The 13,320-nt window shown below is 59.0% G+C and overlaps 1 non-coding gene across 1 annotated transcript, besides 2 other annotated features; it reads left to right on the forward strand.

Annotated features, from left to right (window-relative positions):
- Positions 2,298–2,841: an enhancer, noted in NCBI's record as "H3K27ac-H3K4me1 hESC enhancer chr8:143255282-143255825 (GRCh37/hg19 assembly coordinates)". NCBI's record gives its function as "activates a minimal SCP1, AML or CMV promoter by ChIP-STARR-seq in naive H9 embryonic stem cells {active_cell/tissue: H9 hESC(naive)}" and the evidence as "EXISTENCE:reporter gene assay evidence [ECO:0000049][PMID:30033119]".
- Positions 2,842–3,384: an enhancer, noted in NCBI's record as "H3K27ac-H3K4me1 hESC enhancer chr8:143255826-143256368 (GRCh37/hg19 assembly coordinates)". NCBI's record gives its function as "activates a minimal SCP1, AML or CMV promoter by ChIP-STARR-seq in naive H9 embryonic stem cells {active_cell/tissue: H9 hESC(naive)}" and the evidence as "EXISTENCE:reporter gene assay evidence [ECO:0000049][PMID:30033119]".
- Positions 4,716–4,795, forward strand: MIR4472-1 (microRNA 4472-1). The gene has a single exon (NR_039682.1). It is a non-coding gene; the product is annotated as a microRNA 4472-1 (primary transcript).
- The last annotated feature ends 8,525 nt before the right edge of the window (positions 4,796–13,320 follow it).

Here is a 13,320-nt window from a genome sequence, read left to right on the forward strand (position 1 = left end):
ACGCCTGCCATCAGGGGACGCCCAGGTGTCGCCCTCCATAATGGAATCCCTCCGCTTTTCCAGGGCTGTCAAAGGCTGGCCAGCCCCCAGCACCCACAGAGGGCACGCCGCTCAGCGAGGGAGGAGGAGCAGAGCTAGCAACCCTCACCCTGGGCCCCTGATAATGAGGAATAAGAGGAGGCAGAGGGGCCAGACGCTCGCTGGGGATGCCAGGTGGGATCTTGGTGGGGATTCTTCAGTAAGAGGCCGCGCCGGTGCATATCATTGCGATTCAGAACCTGGCTCCGGAACAATCAAGGTTCATCAGGAACAATGCATGCAAATTCCTCAAATGACTCAGAAGGGTGAGGGTGGAGGCTCTGCAGGGGGGGAGAGGCCTGCCCAGATCTGCCCCGGGAAGCCCAGCTGACCCACGGCCACCCACACAGTGTACCCAGCTGGGGCACCCACAGGCTGGCTGGGCCACCCTCTTCTCAGGACGCCCCTGCGTTCCCAGGGTGAGTCCTCGCCTTGGGCCCAGAGCGGCTGGCAGCACTCCACCTTCCTCCCACATAAAGAGGCCTGGGTTCCAGACCCACTGCTCTGATCCCCATGGAGGATGCCTCCTCTGGGAAGCCCTCACCCATGCTGTGTCCCTGTGTCTGTGAGGATGAGGCTGTCTGGCACTGTCCACTCTCCTGAGCCACTGTTGGCCCATTTGCCGCGTCTGCTGGTCAGTAAACCCAAAAGGGCAGGAGCCCTCACTGCTCGCCCCAGGGGTCCCTGTGCCCAGGGCGATGCCTGCACATCAGGGCGGCTCCACGCACACTAAGGGAGTGAGCAAGGGAGCGAAGGAGAAAGACCTTTGAGAAATTGGGTGAATCATTCATCGAATCCCAAAGCTGGCAGGTGAAAGAGGTAATAATGCACCTGTGTTGTAGGTGGGGAAACTGAGGCCTGAAGCATGGGGTCTGGGTTCAGGGAGGCAGCACGTTCACTGGAAACTGCACCTGCATCCAGTCCTGCCTCCTAACTCAGCAGCCCTGGTCACTTCTCTTCCTGAGACCACCCTCTACCCATAACGGGCAACATGACTGCTGGGGGGAGGCTGTGCCCACCATGCTCAACAAACTCCAAGGCTGCAGCCTCCTCCCCAGTCCCTCAGAATGTGACTGCATTTGGAGCTGGGGTCTTTACAGAGGTACTTAGGTTAAAATGAGGTCATACAGGGGTCAGAGGGGCCTAACCCAATCCGACCACGGTCCTCATAAGGACAGGAGATGAGGACACACATGCAGAGACGACCGTGTGAGGATTCAGGGAGAAGACGTGGTCCACACGCCAAGGAGAGAGGCCCCAGGAGGAACCAGCCCTGCCAGTGCCGTGATGCCGGACTTGCCGGCTCCAGGGCCCTGAGAAGCATGTTGCTGCTGTGTAAGCCGCCCGGGCGGTGTTACTGTGTACACAGCCCAATAGCGGCGACTCACACAAGGCCTCACCTCACGGGGCCGCAGCTGGTATTGAAGGAAATGACAAAAGACAAGGCCCCGGGCCGGAGCAGGCTCACGAGGAGAAGGATGGCACCAGGGTACAAACCCAGCTTCCCAGCCATCTCTTCTGTTACTGAATTTAAAATGAATTAATTTCCATGTCAACTGAAGTGTTCACGTGTGCTAGTGGCCGGCTCCCTGGACGGTGAGGTCTTACCGGGTCCCCGGTAGCTCTTTGGAGGATGGCTCAGGGGGAAGGAGATGGTGCTAGGCGACCAGCTGGGACCCGCTTGTGATGGTGATGGGCGAGGCTCCACCCAACAAGGCTGTAAAGGAGACTCACACACCAACCTGGAGGCTGGGCCTCCGTGGACACAGACAGCTGTCCTCACAACAAGAGCTCGGTCCAGCCTCACCCACCTGAGTCTGCCATCTTGCATCCCAGGAATTTCAGGGTTGTGAGCCCCGGGCCAGCCCCGGACAGCAGAGAAAGACCCTCCTGACGCCATCAGTTAGGAAGACCCTCTTATTTGCTGCACAATGTCAGCTGGCTGTCTGCTGCTTGGGAACCCCCAAAACTGGGCGACGAGAGCAGAAACTATGGGAAGGACAGAGGAGAAAGGACTTCAGGGGCTGGAATCACCTTGATCCCAGACAGAAGAGGCCACCTCTCTCTGCAGCTGACAACCCTGCCAGCAGCTGTAATTAATATGGAGCCGATGACATCTAAATAATATAACAGTTATCATAAATAATATGCGGCCATGATGAAGATCGAGTTATTTATAAAAGAATTAATAATCGCGACGCTGGTGAGTGTTCAGCATTGGGACACTGTCCAAATCCCTGCTCTGAATTTCGATGGGGAATAATGAGTGTCCTTAAGAAGACAAAGACCTTGAAGTTTCCTCCGCTGTTTACAAACTAATTCCTGGTAATGAGGAAATTAACGTGGAAAGTCAGACTTGGAGCTCCGGCGAGGAAGGCAGGAGAGGCGTCTGGCCCTGGCATCCCGGCTAGGACCACAAAGAACTTGTCAGGTCTTCTGCAGCGGTGATTAACTAAATGAGCTGTTAAACCGAAAGGTCAAACTCCATCTTGAGAATACAAATGCACAAATAACTCGGAGACAAGGGATCGATGGGCCCTTTGCTGCAGGGGCCTGGGCACTCCCAAACTAGAGAGGCGGAGCTGACCAGGCTGTGAGAAGTGCGCTGCTGCTGTGCAACCCCCGGCCCGTGTTACTCTGCAGGCAGCCCAGTGGCTGCGACTCCCACAATGACTCATCAGGATCCTTTGTTGGGGGTCGTGTGTGCCCTAAGGGAGGAGCCCGAGTGCCCGGAAGCCTGGACTCTGTGGGTGCTGCCCCCTCCCTCGACCCTGCAGCCAACAGTGCAGCCTGGCTTGGCCCCTCTGCTGCCTGCTTCTCAGGGCTGGCCCTAGGCCAGGGGTGCCCAGACCAAAAACCTTCCTGCTGGAAGTGCCTGCTTTCCCACTCCCCTGCTGGGAAGCTGTCCCTCGGTCCCTGCCCACCCGGACCCCCGGGCTTGCACACCTGGCTGCCTTCGTCTCCTGGGGCCGTTGTAATAAAGTGGCCCACAATGGGAAGCTCAGGCAACAAAGCTGATTGTCTCCCAACCTGGGGGCTGGAAGTCCAAGAACGAGGCATAAGCAGGGGTTAGCCGCTTCCTTTGGGGCCATGAGGGACACTGTCCCAGGCCCCCCACTCCGGCTTCTGGGCCTTGCAGGCCATCTTTGTCACTCGGTAGCTCGTGGAAGCCTCACCCCTACCTCTGCCTCCATCTTCCCATGGCATCTCTCTACATACATGCCTGTCCCCAAATTGCCCTTTTTTATAAGAACACAGTCACACTAGGTTAGAGCCCACCCTAGTGACCTCATCCGAACTCATTACATCTGTAATGACCCTATTTCCAAATAACATCCCATTCTGAGTTAGGGGGAGCTATGACTTCAACATGTGAACTTGGGGAACACAATTCAGTCCATGACATCCCCCATGGCCATCGTCCCCTGAACTCACAGGCCCAGCTACCCGACCACTGGAAAAGAACAGAAACAGCCCCAGCCTGGTGCTGGGGCCCTGTGGTATCAGACAGACCACCTGGCTAGGGGGAGCTGGGGTGGCTACGGGTGGAGAAACCATCCGCAGGGGTCAGGGTGGAGGGTGCATCTTATTTGTTTGTCCTTTTGCATCATGCCTGGAGAAGCTGAGTCTCAGGACAGAGAGGGATTCTTGACATGACCTGGCCCAGAGTGCCACCTGGGCAGTGCTTCTGTCCCCTCCAACAGCAGAGTGCCACCCAAGCAGTGCTTCTGTCCTCTCGGGCAGCAGAGTGCCACCCAGCACCTGCAGGGATGCCTGGACACAGGGAGCTCGCTCTGCAGGGCGAGGCTATGGGTGATCCCTGCACCTGCTCTGGCTCTGGTGCTTCCAGGGGCCCCTAGCTACTCCCATGTTACAGGCCCAGGCCCAGAGAGGCCAGGGGAGGTCCCCAGGATCTCACAGCCAGCTGGATAGAGTGGAACGTGTGTGGCCCCCGATTCCCGGCAGGCACTTGTCCTCCAGCCAGACCCACTGCCTGGCACTCACCGGATGCTCTTTCTCACCGAGGATCAACTCTCCCTCCCTGAAGGGCGCCGGACCCTGAGCCTGCCATCTGTGAAATGGGATAGCAGTGCCTGCGTCTCTGGTACTCACGGGACCCTCCATCCTTGGAGATTTAAGAGATGTGGTCAATATCACCCCACACAGTTCCTGGCACGTGGTTGACAGCCAGGGACCACCAGCTCCCGCACCCTCAGAACAGCCTTTCCGAAATCCCAAACCTTCCCTGAGAGCCGCCAAGAATACCCTACCCATCTCCCTGTGGGGAGCATTCAGCACTCCAGGAGCGTTTATGGAGCACCGACTGAATCCCAGAGTCTTCCCAGGCTGCAGGCCCAGCCCTTCCTGCACTGCGGCTCAGGAATTTGCAGAGTGTCAGGCGAGACGCCCCCGTTCCCAATCACTTCTCTCATTGTGGGGCTTCATTTCTGTTCCCTTTGGTTGGGGCTGCCTGCTCAGCTCCCAGCGTTCTATTTCGGCTCACAACATTTATAAAAATGCATCCGAAAACCCTGGCGCTGCAATCTGGAACTAACCTGCTTCAAGTCCTCAGACAAAAGCTCCTGAATACTAATTGAAAAGTGATTAATTACATTCACGGAGCCCCATCTCCTCACTGGCAGACCCTTGCTCTCTCACTCTCCCTAATGGGGCTGAAGACAGCTCAGGGGCAGGGTGGGGGGTGTTGTTTTTGTTTTTTTAAGGCTGAGTTGGTTTAAATCTCATTTAATTTTCACAAGGGAGAGCCTTGAGCCTCAACTCAGATCTTAACTCGGGTCAGATCTGTCCCTGATCTGGACAAATCCCGGCCCTTCTCGGATTCTCATTTCCTTCTTTGGAAGGTGGGGCTGCGGCACCTGGGGGATTTTGGAAGGCGACCGTCCAGAATTCCAATCCCGGCTGCTCATAATTGCTGCGGTGGAGCCCTGGTCAGGCCCCAACACGGGCTCCCTGCCCCCGTCCTTTTCCCCACTCCCTGCACACCCATAAACATTCTACCCACAGTCCCTGTGGTCTTCCAGGACTCTGCTCAGAGCTCACCTCCTCCAGGCAGCCTGCCGGGCCCTCTTCTCTGCTCCACGAACACCCTAGAACCCTGGGCTCCTCCCTGACTTCTATCCCCACAGGGTGTTATGGCAGCCGGTCATCCACTCTAGACCATGAGCCCCTCGAGATTGAGGCTAGCATCCAGCCACCCCCAAACCACAAAACTCACCACAGCCCCTGAACGAGCTGGAGGAAGACCGCAAGCTCCACACCTGAGCCCCGGGACAGAGCCAGACTCCAACGATGAACCAGAGCAGAAGAACCTTGCACACAGTAGGCATTCAGTCAGTGACCTTCCACCCTGCCCAGCCTCTGAGTGTCCTTGGACCAGTACCTGAAGCCCCTCTGGGCCTCCATTTTCTCCCCTGTAAGATGGGTTGACTAGGAGCCACGCCCAAGACTGAGGGATTAATGAGACGATGCGTGCCAAACACAGGGCAGCATGCAGTAAGCGCTAAATAGATGTCCACATCCCTTTCCCGGCCTGCCCCTTCCCATTCCCGGCCCCCAGGGTTTCCGGAGCTGGGTCTCCATGCCCCTCCAAGGCTGCCCCTGGGCCTGGGGAGAACAGGCTGCTGCAGGTAGGGGGCCCGACCCTCTGACCCTGAAGAGACAGCCGCTGTCACTGGAGGGACAGGGGCCCGGGGCGCTGGCGACCGCTCCGGAGCAGGGTGGGAGGGGCTCCAGAATTCAGGTCCGCCAAGCAGAGGCCATGGCCAAAGGCTGCGCACAGGTGGGCCCCTCTAGCAGGGCTGCCTAGAGAGACCCCAAGGGGGGTCTGGAGGGGTCAGGGAGGGGCAAGTGATGGGCAGGGTCTGAGGGGACTGCGTGGCCAGCCCCCTCCATCAGACCCCCACTTCCGCTCCAGAGCTCAGAGGGGCAGCTCAGCCGCAGACCGGAGGCTGGGGTCACGGTGGCACCGAGAGGAAGCAGAGGCAGCTGAGGGCCCCGCCTGCCGGCGCCAGCCCTCCCTTCGCTGTGGGGTCGGTCCCTCCTCGCTGCACCCTTAATTACAAGTGTCCTGAAATCCTGCCAGAACACACTCTCTGAGACGGTTTCCCTCATTTAAATTCTTCCCTGACATTTGTACCACAGTGAACAAGAACGAAACTCCTGGGAGGAGGCACGGCCTGGCGCTGCGGAGTCTCCCTGTTGGAGGAGGAAGGAGGAGGAGGAAGGCAGGACCCTGGGCCTGGCCTCCAGAGAGGAGGTGCACGCAGAGAAGACAGCGTGGGCAGCCACCACGACCACCGCTCCGGGCCCAGGTCTCCCTCGTCCTTCCAACAGCCCCGTTTTACAGGGAGGGAAACTGAGGCTGAAATGGGAGAAGTGACTGGAAAGGCACGTGGTGGGGAGCCTCTCAATTTGTTCTGGATAAAAACATTCTCTCACAGGGTCCGCAATTCTACAGGAGCACTCACGGCTGATTCAATAGGAGAATTCCCCTTGGCCAAGGAACAGCCACTCCCAAAGTGTGAAGGCCTGGGCGGCCGCTCACCTGAGGGCCCTGAGCTGGCCGGGCCAGTGCATCCCTTCATCTGAGTACCCCCCAGCACCAGCCAGTTCATCCCCTCACCTGAGTCCCACTGTGGCCAGTGCATCTCCTCACCTGGGCACCCCACCACCAGCCAGTGCATCCCCTCACCTGGGCACCCCCCCACCAGCCAGTGTATCCCCTCACCTGAGTCCCCCCCAGCCCCGCGGCCATTGCATCCAGACTCTACTTCCATGCAGACAGCAGTTGACACTGCACCCCTTTACAGAGGAAAGAACCAGACTTCATGTCCAAGGGTGGGATGATCCCACCCCAGCTCTGCCACTTGCCAGCCGTGAGGCCTTGGGGCAATTCTCACTCCCAAGCCTCAGTTTCCCCACTTGTTAAAGCAGGATGAGCAGCTCTGAGGTGCTGAGTTGCTCTGGAAGCAACTCCACTGGGCCAGGTAGAGAAAACCCTGCACAGGCCTCCTGCAGACGGGCGGCCACCTGTTCTATGTGGGACCCGCATGCCATGGGGGCCTTCAGGAGCTGTCCTCACCAAGAGGTGTGTCTGAGGGTGAAGCTTCGGGTACTGAAGCAGATCCCGGTGAGGCCTCAGCCAGCAGCACACAGCTGGTGCCAGCGACGCCTCCTGCCTCAACCCACCACAACCCACCATGGCAATGAGCTTGTGTCTCTCATGGGCGTCTTTGGGTTTGGGGTTCTGTGTAAGACAAGGCAACAAGTGTCGCCAGAAGCAGGAGCATTCCCCGGGATCAGCAACCCGGGGAAGGTACGAGACCTTGCCAGACACCAGGGGAGGGAGGGGTCTCTGCCTTTGCCTCCTGCTAGGGGCCAGGCCTGGGTCTTGAGGAGGAGACAGAAGCCTGGGGAGGCTCCTCTGTGGGTCCACACTCCACTTGGGGCAGGCCTGGGGGTTGGCCGCAGCTCACCAGCCAGGCCACAGGCCCACGGCCCCGAGCCCAAGCTGCGATGGAAAAGCACGAGGTGACCCCCGAGCCTCCGGCCCCGGACTTGCTCCCAGAGGGGCTGCCTCTGTGGCTTGGGGGTGAGGCCTGGCCCTGGGGTTTGTCAAAGCTGCAGGAACCAGAACCTTCCCCCGGAATCAGGAGCACCCACCACCTCAGCTCTCAAGAATCCCAGGATCCTTCATTGTGAGCTGGGCCCCCGTGCTTTGTCCTGGGCATGGAAGGCCTGGAGTGGGGCCGGGGGACGGGCATTCAACACATGTCCCTGGGTCCCTGGGAACACTGGCACTGGCTACCTGAGGGCCTCACTGGGAGATACAGACCCGGCCCTGGTCCATGTTCAGTGCGGCCATTTCCCTGCTGTCGCCCCTGAGGCCCCCATGCTCAGCCTGGATTCATTGGTGCTTTGAGTAGTAACAGAAGGTTCCGGACCCTCTCTGAAGCCAGCAGGCCCCTGGTGACACATCCTCAGAACCCAGTCAGGGACTGCTGAATGAGTGCCAGGGCCATGGCGCTCAGGCGAGAGGCTGGGAAAGGGGCGTCTCAGTGCCAAATGTGGGCAGCCTGGATGGGGCTTCACCGAGAAAGGAGGCAGTGCCTCCACCCCAGCGCCCCCTTGGCCCTGCTCCTGTGAGAAGGTGTGGGCCTCCCCAGAGCAGGCCCCCCACTCAGACGCCAGGACTTCCTGGACCTCAGCCTCCCAGAGTGCACCTGACTCCAAGAGCAAGTCTCTCCCAGCCTGGGCCACAGGTGGCCCCAGGGGCAGCTTGCAGGATTTCAGCGGGGAAGGGGACAGAGGGTCTGAGATGGGCACGTGGGAGACCTGGGGCTGCTGTGGGCCAGAAGGAGCCGGGGAGCTGGTGGAGATGAGAGCCGGGAATGGGCCTGGGACTCGGGCAGCAGGAGGTCAGCAGTGCTCTTAGGATGTCCCCATGGATCAAACACCTGGCCAGGTGGGTTCAGGGGTGAGAGGGAGGAGGGGCAGGGCAGACGGGAGGGGACAGCTCGGTGAGGAGCAGGACCCGGGCGGTGACAGGGGAGCCCAGGCCTCCTGTCACGGGTGGTCCAGAGCAGGCCAAGTGATGCTCCTGCTGGGGCTGGGGACTGCGGAGCCTCTGGAGCTCAGAGCTAACTCCAAGCCCCGTACTCTCTGGGGGCCCTGGGCGGGCGGTGGGCAGGGCGAGGGCCAGCAAGTCTGAGAGAGCAGTGGCCGCGGCTCTCCTAAAACTTCCTCTGCAAAGCTTATTCCCCGACCCGTATAGCGCACTGAGCATCTACTTGTTTTTCTCCCCTTCCTTCAATACAATTATAGATTAATTAATTCTCACCGAGCAATATTTGACCTACATCAGCGCCTCTGTAAGACGGCAGAGCCAGAAGAAAGAATCATTGGGCTATATAAAGACAAGCAATCTATTTTAAAAGAAGGGCTGTGTGCGGGCGCCAGCTGCTCCAGCATCCCTGTTACATAAGGCTCACTTACAGGCAGCACACACCGGCTCATCGAGATTCACGGCTCGGTAGTGCTGAACACGGGTTAATCATCCCATTGCGTCTGGGCTCACCGGAGGGGCTCTGACAGGAGGATGCCCACCTGGGGGCCCCCGGGCACATGCGATGCTGCTCCCTGCTGCGGGACGCCTCCCCTTTGCCTCCCCCACATCAAAGCACCTGCCACGCCCCACTTTAATTGTGGGATTCTCCAGGTCAGGGGCCACATCTCATTCATCTGAGTGTCCCTCAACACCAGAGAGAGAGCCTGGGATATGGGAGGCATCGACATTGAGGAATTAAGCTGTGATTCAGCAGGAGGAGGCACACACAGGAGGAGCTGGTTCTCACACTCGCTGAGCCGCGAGCGCTGGGAGGCTGGGCACTGAGCCGCAGATTCTCATTTCTCAAGGCCACTCTGCGTAGTAGGGCGCTGCTGCCGCCACAGTGGGTACCTTAGGGGTGGCCCCCAGTGCTCATAGCCAGCGCAGTCCCCTGTCCCTGATGTGGGCTGGACTGCGTGACTCAGGACTGGATTCTAGGGATGGAAGGAGCAGAGAAGATGCGATGTGGCTCCTGAGATCCGGTTGCAAAGCCTGTGGCTCCAACGTGGTCATGCTGTCTGGTTCTCTCTGGAATCCTGGGTGGTGCCAGCTGCTGCACTGGGGGGAAGCCCTGTGGACAAGCCCAGGTGTCGAGGAGCTAAGTCGACAGCCCTGCGAGTGAGTTTGGGAGCAAATCCCCCAAGCTGAGCCTTCGGATAAGCCCAAGGCTCCAGTCCCACGGCTCTGCCCAGCCCACGAGAGACAGTGATCCACAGCCACCTCAGAGCTGGACTCCTGCTCCACACTCGCTGCCTGTTTCGAACCATGAGCTTTGGGATAACTTGCGACGCCGTGATAGAGAACGGATGTTCTGCCTCATTGTAGAGGTGGGAAAACTGAGGCTCTGAGGAGCTGAGTGACTTGGCTCTGGTCACCCAGCACAGATGCAAGCCCAGGCCCACCTGACTGCACATGGCACACGGATCTAGAAGGGACAGGCCAAGCCCTGGCCGAGCTGGCTGCAGCCTCCACAGACCACAGCAGATGAGAGGCCTGTCCCTCCCGTCCCAGAGCTCTCGGAGGGCCCGTGGCCGCCCCTCCACCGTGGTCCCCACGCTCCTCTCCCTGGCTCTGCCATCCTGCCTCTATCCAGGACTGCCCAGCTCTCAGGGGCAGGATCTGCCACCAGGAGCCCTCACACACTTCGTCGAGGAGGTGGGCCTGGAATACAGGGCACCCAGGGTGAGGGGCCTGCCACTGCCCCAGGGACCTGGAATCTTCCTGCAGAAGCCACGTCTGACCTTGACATTGAGATATGCAGCCAGGCAGTTGGGGGCCACCATCAGCCCTGATCTCTGCCTCCCATCTTCCATGGACCCCTGTTCTCAGGACCCCAGCTTTGCCCTCAGCCCACCCCGCTCCAGTGTGGGACATGAGCTAAGCCATTTCTTCACCTCCCCTGGCCTCAGTCTCCCCATCTGGAAAGTGGGAAGAGAGTGCAGCTGGGCCTGGCGTCTGCTTCAGCAAACTCATAAGGCCCCAGACCACAGCCTGAAAGGTCAGGGCCTGGGCCTGGGGGTGGCAGGGGTGTGGACGCCCTGCAGGTAGAAGGCAGGGGAACGCACACTGGCTGGGCTCACTAGCTGCCACCTGGGGCCCGGTGGCCATGCTGTGGCTGTGGACGGTGAGAGGGAGGAACCCGAGAGCCGCATGCCTCCCCTCCCCACCGCCGGCCGTGGCTCGGGGGCTGGCCCTGGGTCCGCTGTGGGGCAGGCAGGGGCAGGTGCCTTCCTGTTTCTCCCCCACCTGCCCTGCAGTCTGGGCCTGAACTCACCTCTGTAGCCCCAGAGTTCACCGTGGGCCCCTGTCTCCTGCTTTAGAGGCCACCGTGGGGAGGGCACCGGGAAAGGCCTGGTGTGAGTCATAGCAGGGGAGTGTGGGGCAAGGGTGGGGGTACAGAGGCACTCTTGGCTGGCAGGGCTGGGCCTTTTCTGAACCTGGCAGGAGTGGACGCAGGCTTTCCACCAGGTGGGCGGGACCCTGCCAGGTCCCTGAGTAACCTGAATGACTGCTCAGCCTCATCCAAGAGGGAGTCCCTTTCTGGGCTTCTCCCCTCCAGCTGGGAGGCTTCAGAGGCCAAAGCCCCAGGCCAGAATGAAGTAAGCTGGTTTGTTTTCACCGGGTTTCGTTTTACTGTTTCCTTCTATTTATGGGAAAAATAAATAAATAAGAAATAGGAGCCTTTTCATTTGCAGTCAGGATACAGGCACTCAAAGTAGAATCAAACCCTGTTAGGGACAATGTGACATTGTCATGTCTGCAATGACAGTGGGGTGCTGGTGAGGGGAAGGGGCTTGCGGGGAGGTCAGAGGGGGCTTTCATTGGAGCTGCTGGAACCCTAGAGTGGACTTGCAGATGGGCCCCCTTCTCTGGGTTCCCTCCTGAGCCCACGTCAGGCAGCTCCTGGCTGGAAGCCCCCCAGTGACCCTGACTGCCATGACACGAGGGGGCTGGTGACTGAGCGGGGCGGCCTGCCACCCTCCCAGACCCTGTCCAGGCACCAAGGCAGATCCTGCCAGACTCTCGGGGCAGAGGCCCTCTCCCCTGGGAGCCCCCCTAAGGCAGCCCCGAGAACCAGCTCTCATCTCCCTGCCTCGCGGTTACATCCCCAGGGACTCCTTATTCTCCTCCCACCACCTGTGGCTCAGGCATCACTGTGACTCGGCTTAGCTGTTACTGTTCTATAGTATTAGGTAATATTATACGTCAGTATCACATACGCCACGCAGATGAGAAAAAGACGGTTCAGGCAGGTTAATTACCTTGCCCTGGGACACACAGCAAGAAAAAGACAACCAAAATACGAACCCAGAGCTCTACTGCCCCGGCCCCCACTCTCCTTTCACGCCCCCTCCAAGACAAATCTGTTCTCCGGCTCCCAGAACCTTCAGACTGCACATCTTAGCAGCTTGACACCAATGGCTTTAGAAACTACAAGCTCTCCTGTCTAAAGTGGCAAAGAATCCAGAAAAACTGTGTTAGTTGGTGGGTCCTTCATCGGACTCACCACTCAGTGTGGTCTGAGGACCGGCAGAGCCAGCACCACCTGGGCGGGCATTAGATTGCAGCATCCCAGGCCCGCCTGCCCTGCTGAGTGAGAAGCTGCCCATTTACAAGACCCTCAGACGCTTCTGAACGCCGAGGTTAGGAGGCAGCTGCGCAGGGCCATGCTGAATCCCCTACTGTCCACAGCCCTGCCCCCAAATCCAGGAATGGTGAAGAGTCGGGCCCTGGCAGGAAAGAGGTTTGAGCATTCAGTGGGGGCTGCCGGTGTCAGCTGGTGTCACGCCCCACCGCTGGCTGCCTGCCTCTACTCACCTGTAATGCTGGCCTCTGGGAGCCCAGAGCCTCAGGCCAGATGTGCTCTGCCCGGACCTGGATTCTCTGGAAACCTGGCCCCAAGACCAAGCCAAGCTGTTTATAGATTCTGGGCTCCTGGCCAGATATCATTTCTGGCTTTGATGCCATTTAATGTTCCTTTAATGTATTATTCATTTCCGTGAATTGCAGTGCTAACTCCTCAAAGCTCCTGAGCACACGTGCCCTCCTCCTCATCCTGCACTCAGCCCAGGCTGGTCTCCAGCCTCTCCCGCTCCCCAGCATGCCTGACCCCCGCCCACCTGCCACACTTCTCCCCAGCTCCTCTTCCCTGTACTCAGCCAGAATGAGCCAGGACTGGACTTGCCAAGGCCTGGACCCCATGCTGATGTTGCTGTGTTGGCCACGGAGAAGCCACTTTGTTTCTCTGGAACAGACCCTAAAACTCCAAAACCCTAAAAGCTCAAAGCTAGAAAGCACCTTGGGCATCTCCCAGGTCACCAACCACAGCACCTCGTCCAGGAGACCACCCGTGGGACTCCGGAATACCTCCAGGGATAAGGGGCCTACTGCCTGCACAAAACCAGAGCCCAGGCACCAATAACCAAGCTCCAATAACCAGGCTCCAGTAATCAGGCTCCAGTAACGAGGCTCCAATAACCAGGCTCTAGTAACCAGGCTCCAATAACCAGGCTCTAGTAACCAGGCTCCAATAACCAGGCTCTAGTAACCAGGCTCCAGTAACCAGGCTCCAACAACCAGGCTCTAGTAACCAGGCTCCCAGCTACATCACTTGT

The sequence above is a fragment of the Homo sapiens genome, chromosome 8 (genome assembly GCF_000001405.40).
Source record: "Homo sapiens chromosome 8, GRCh38.p14 Primary Assembly".
NCBI classification, from domain to species: Eukaryota; Metazoa; Chordata; class Mammalia; order Primates; family Hominidae; genus Homo; species Homo sapiens.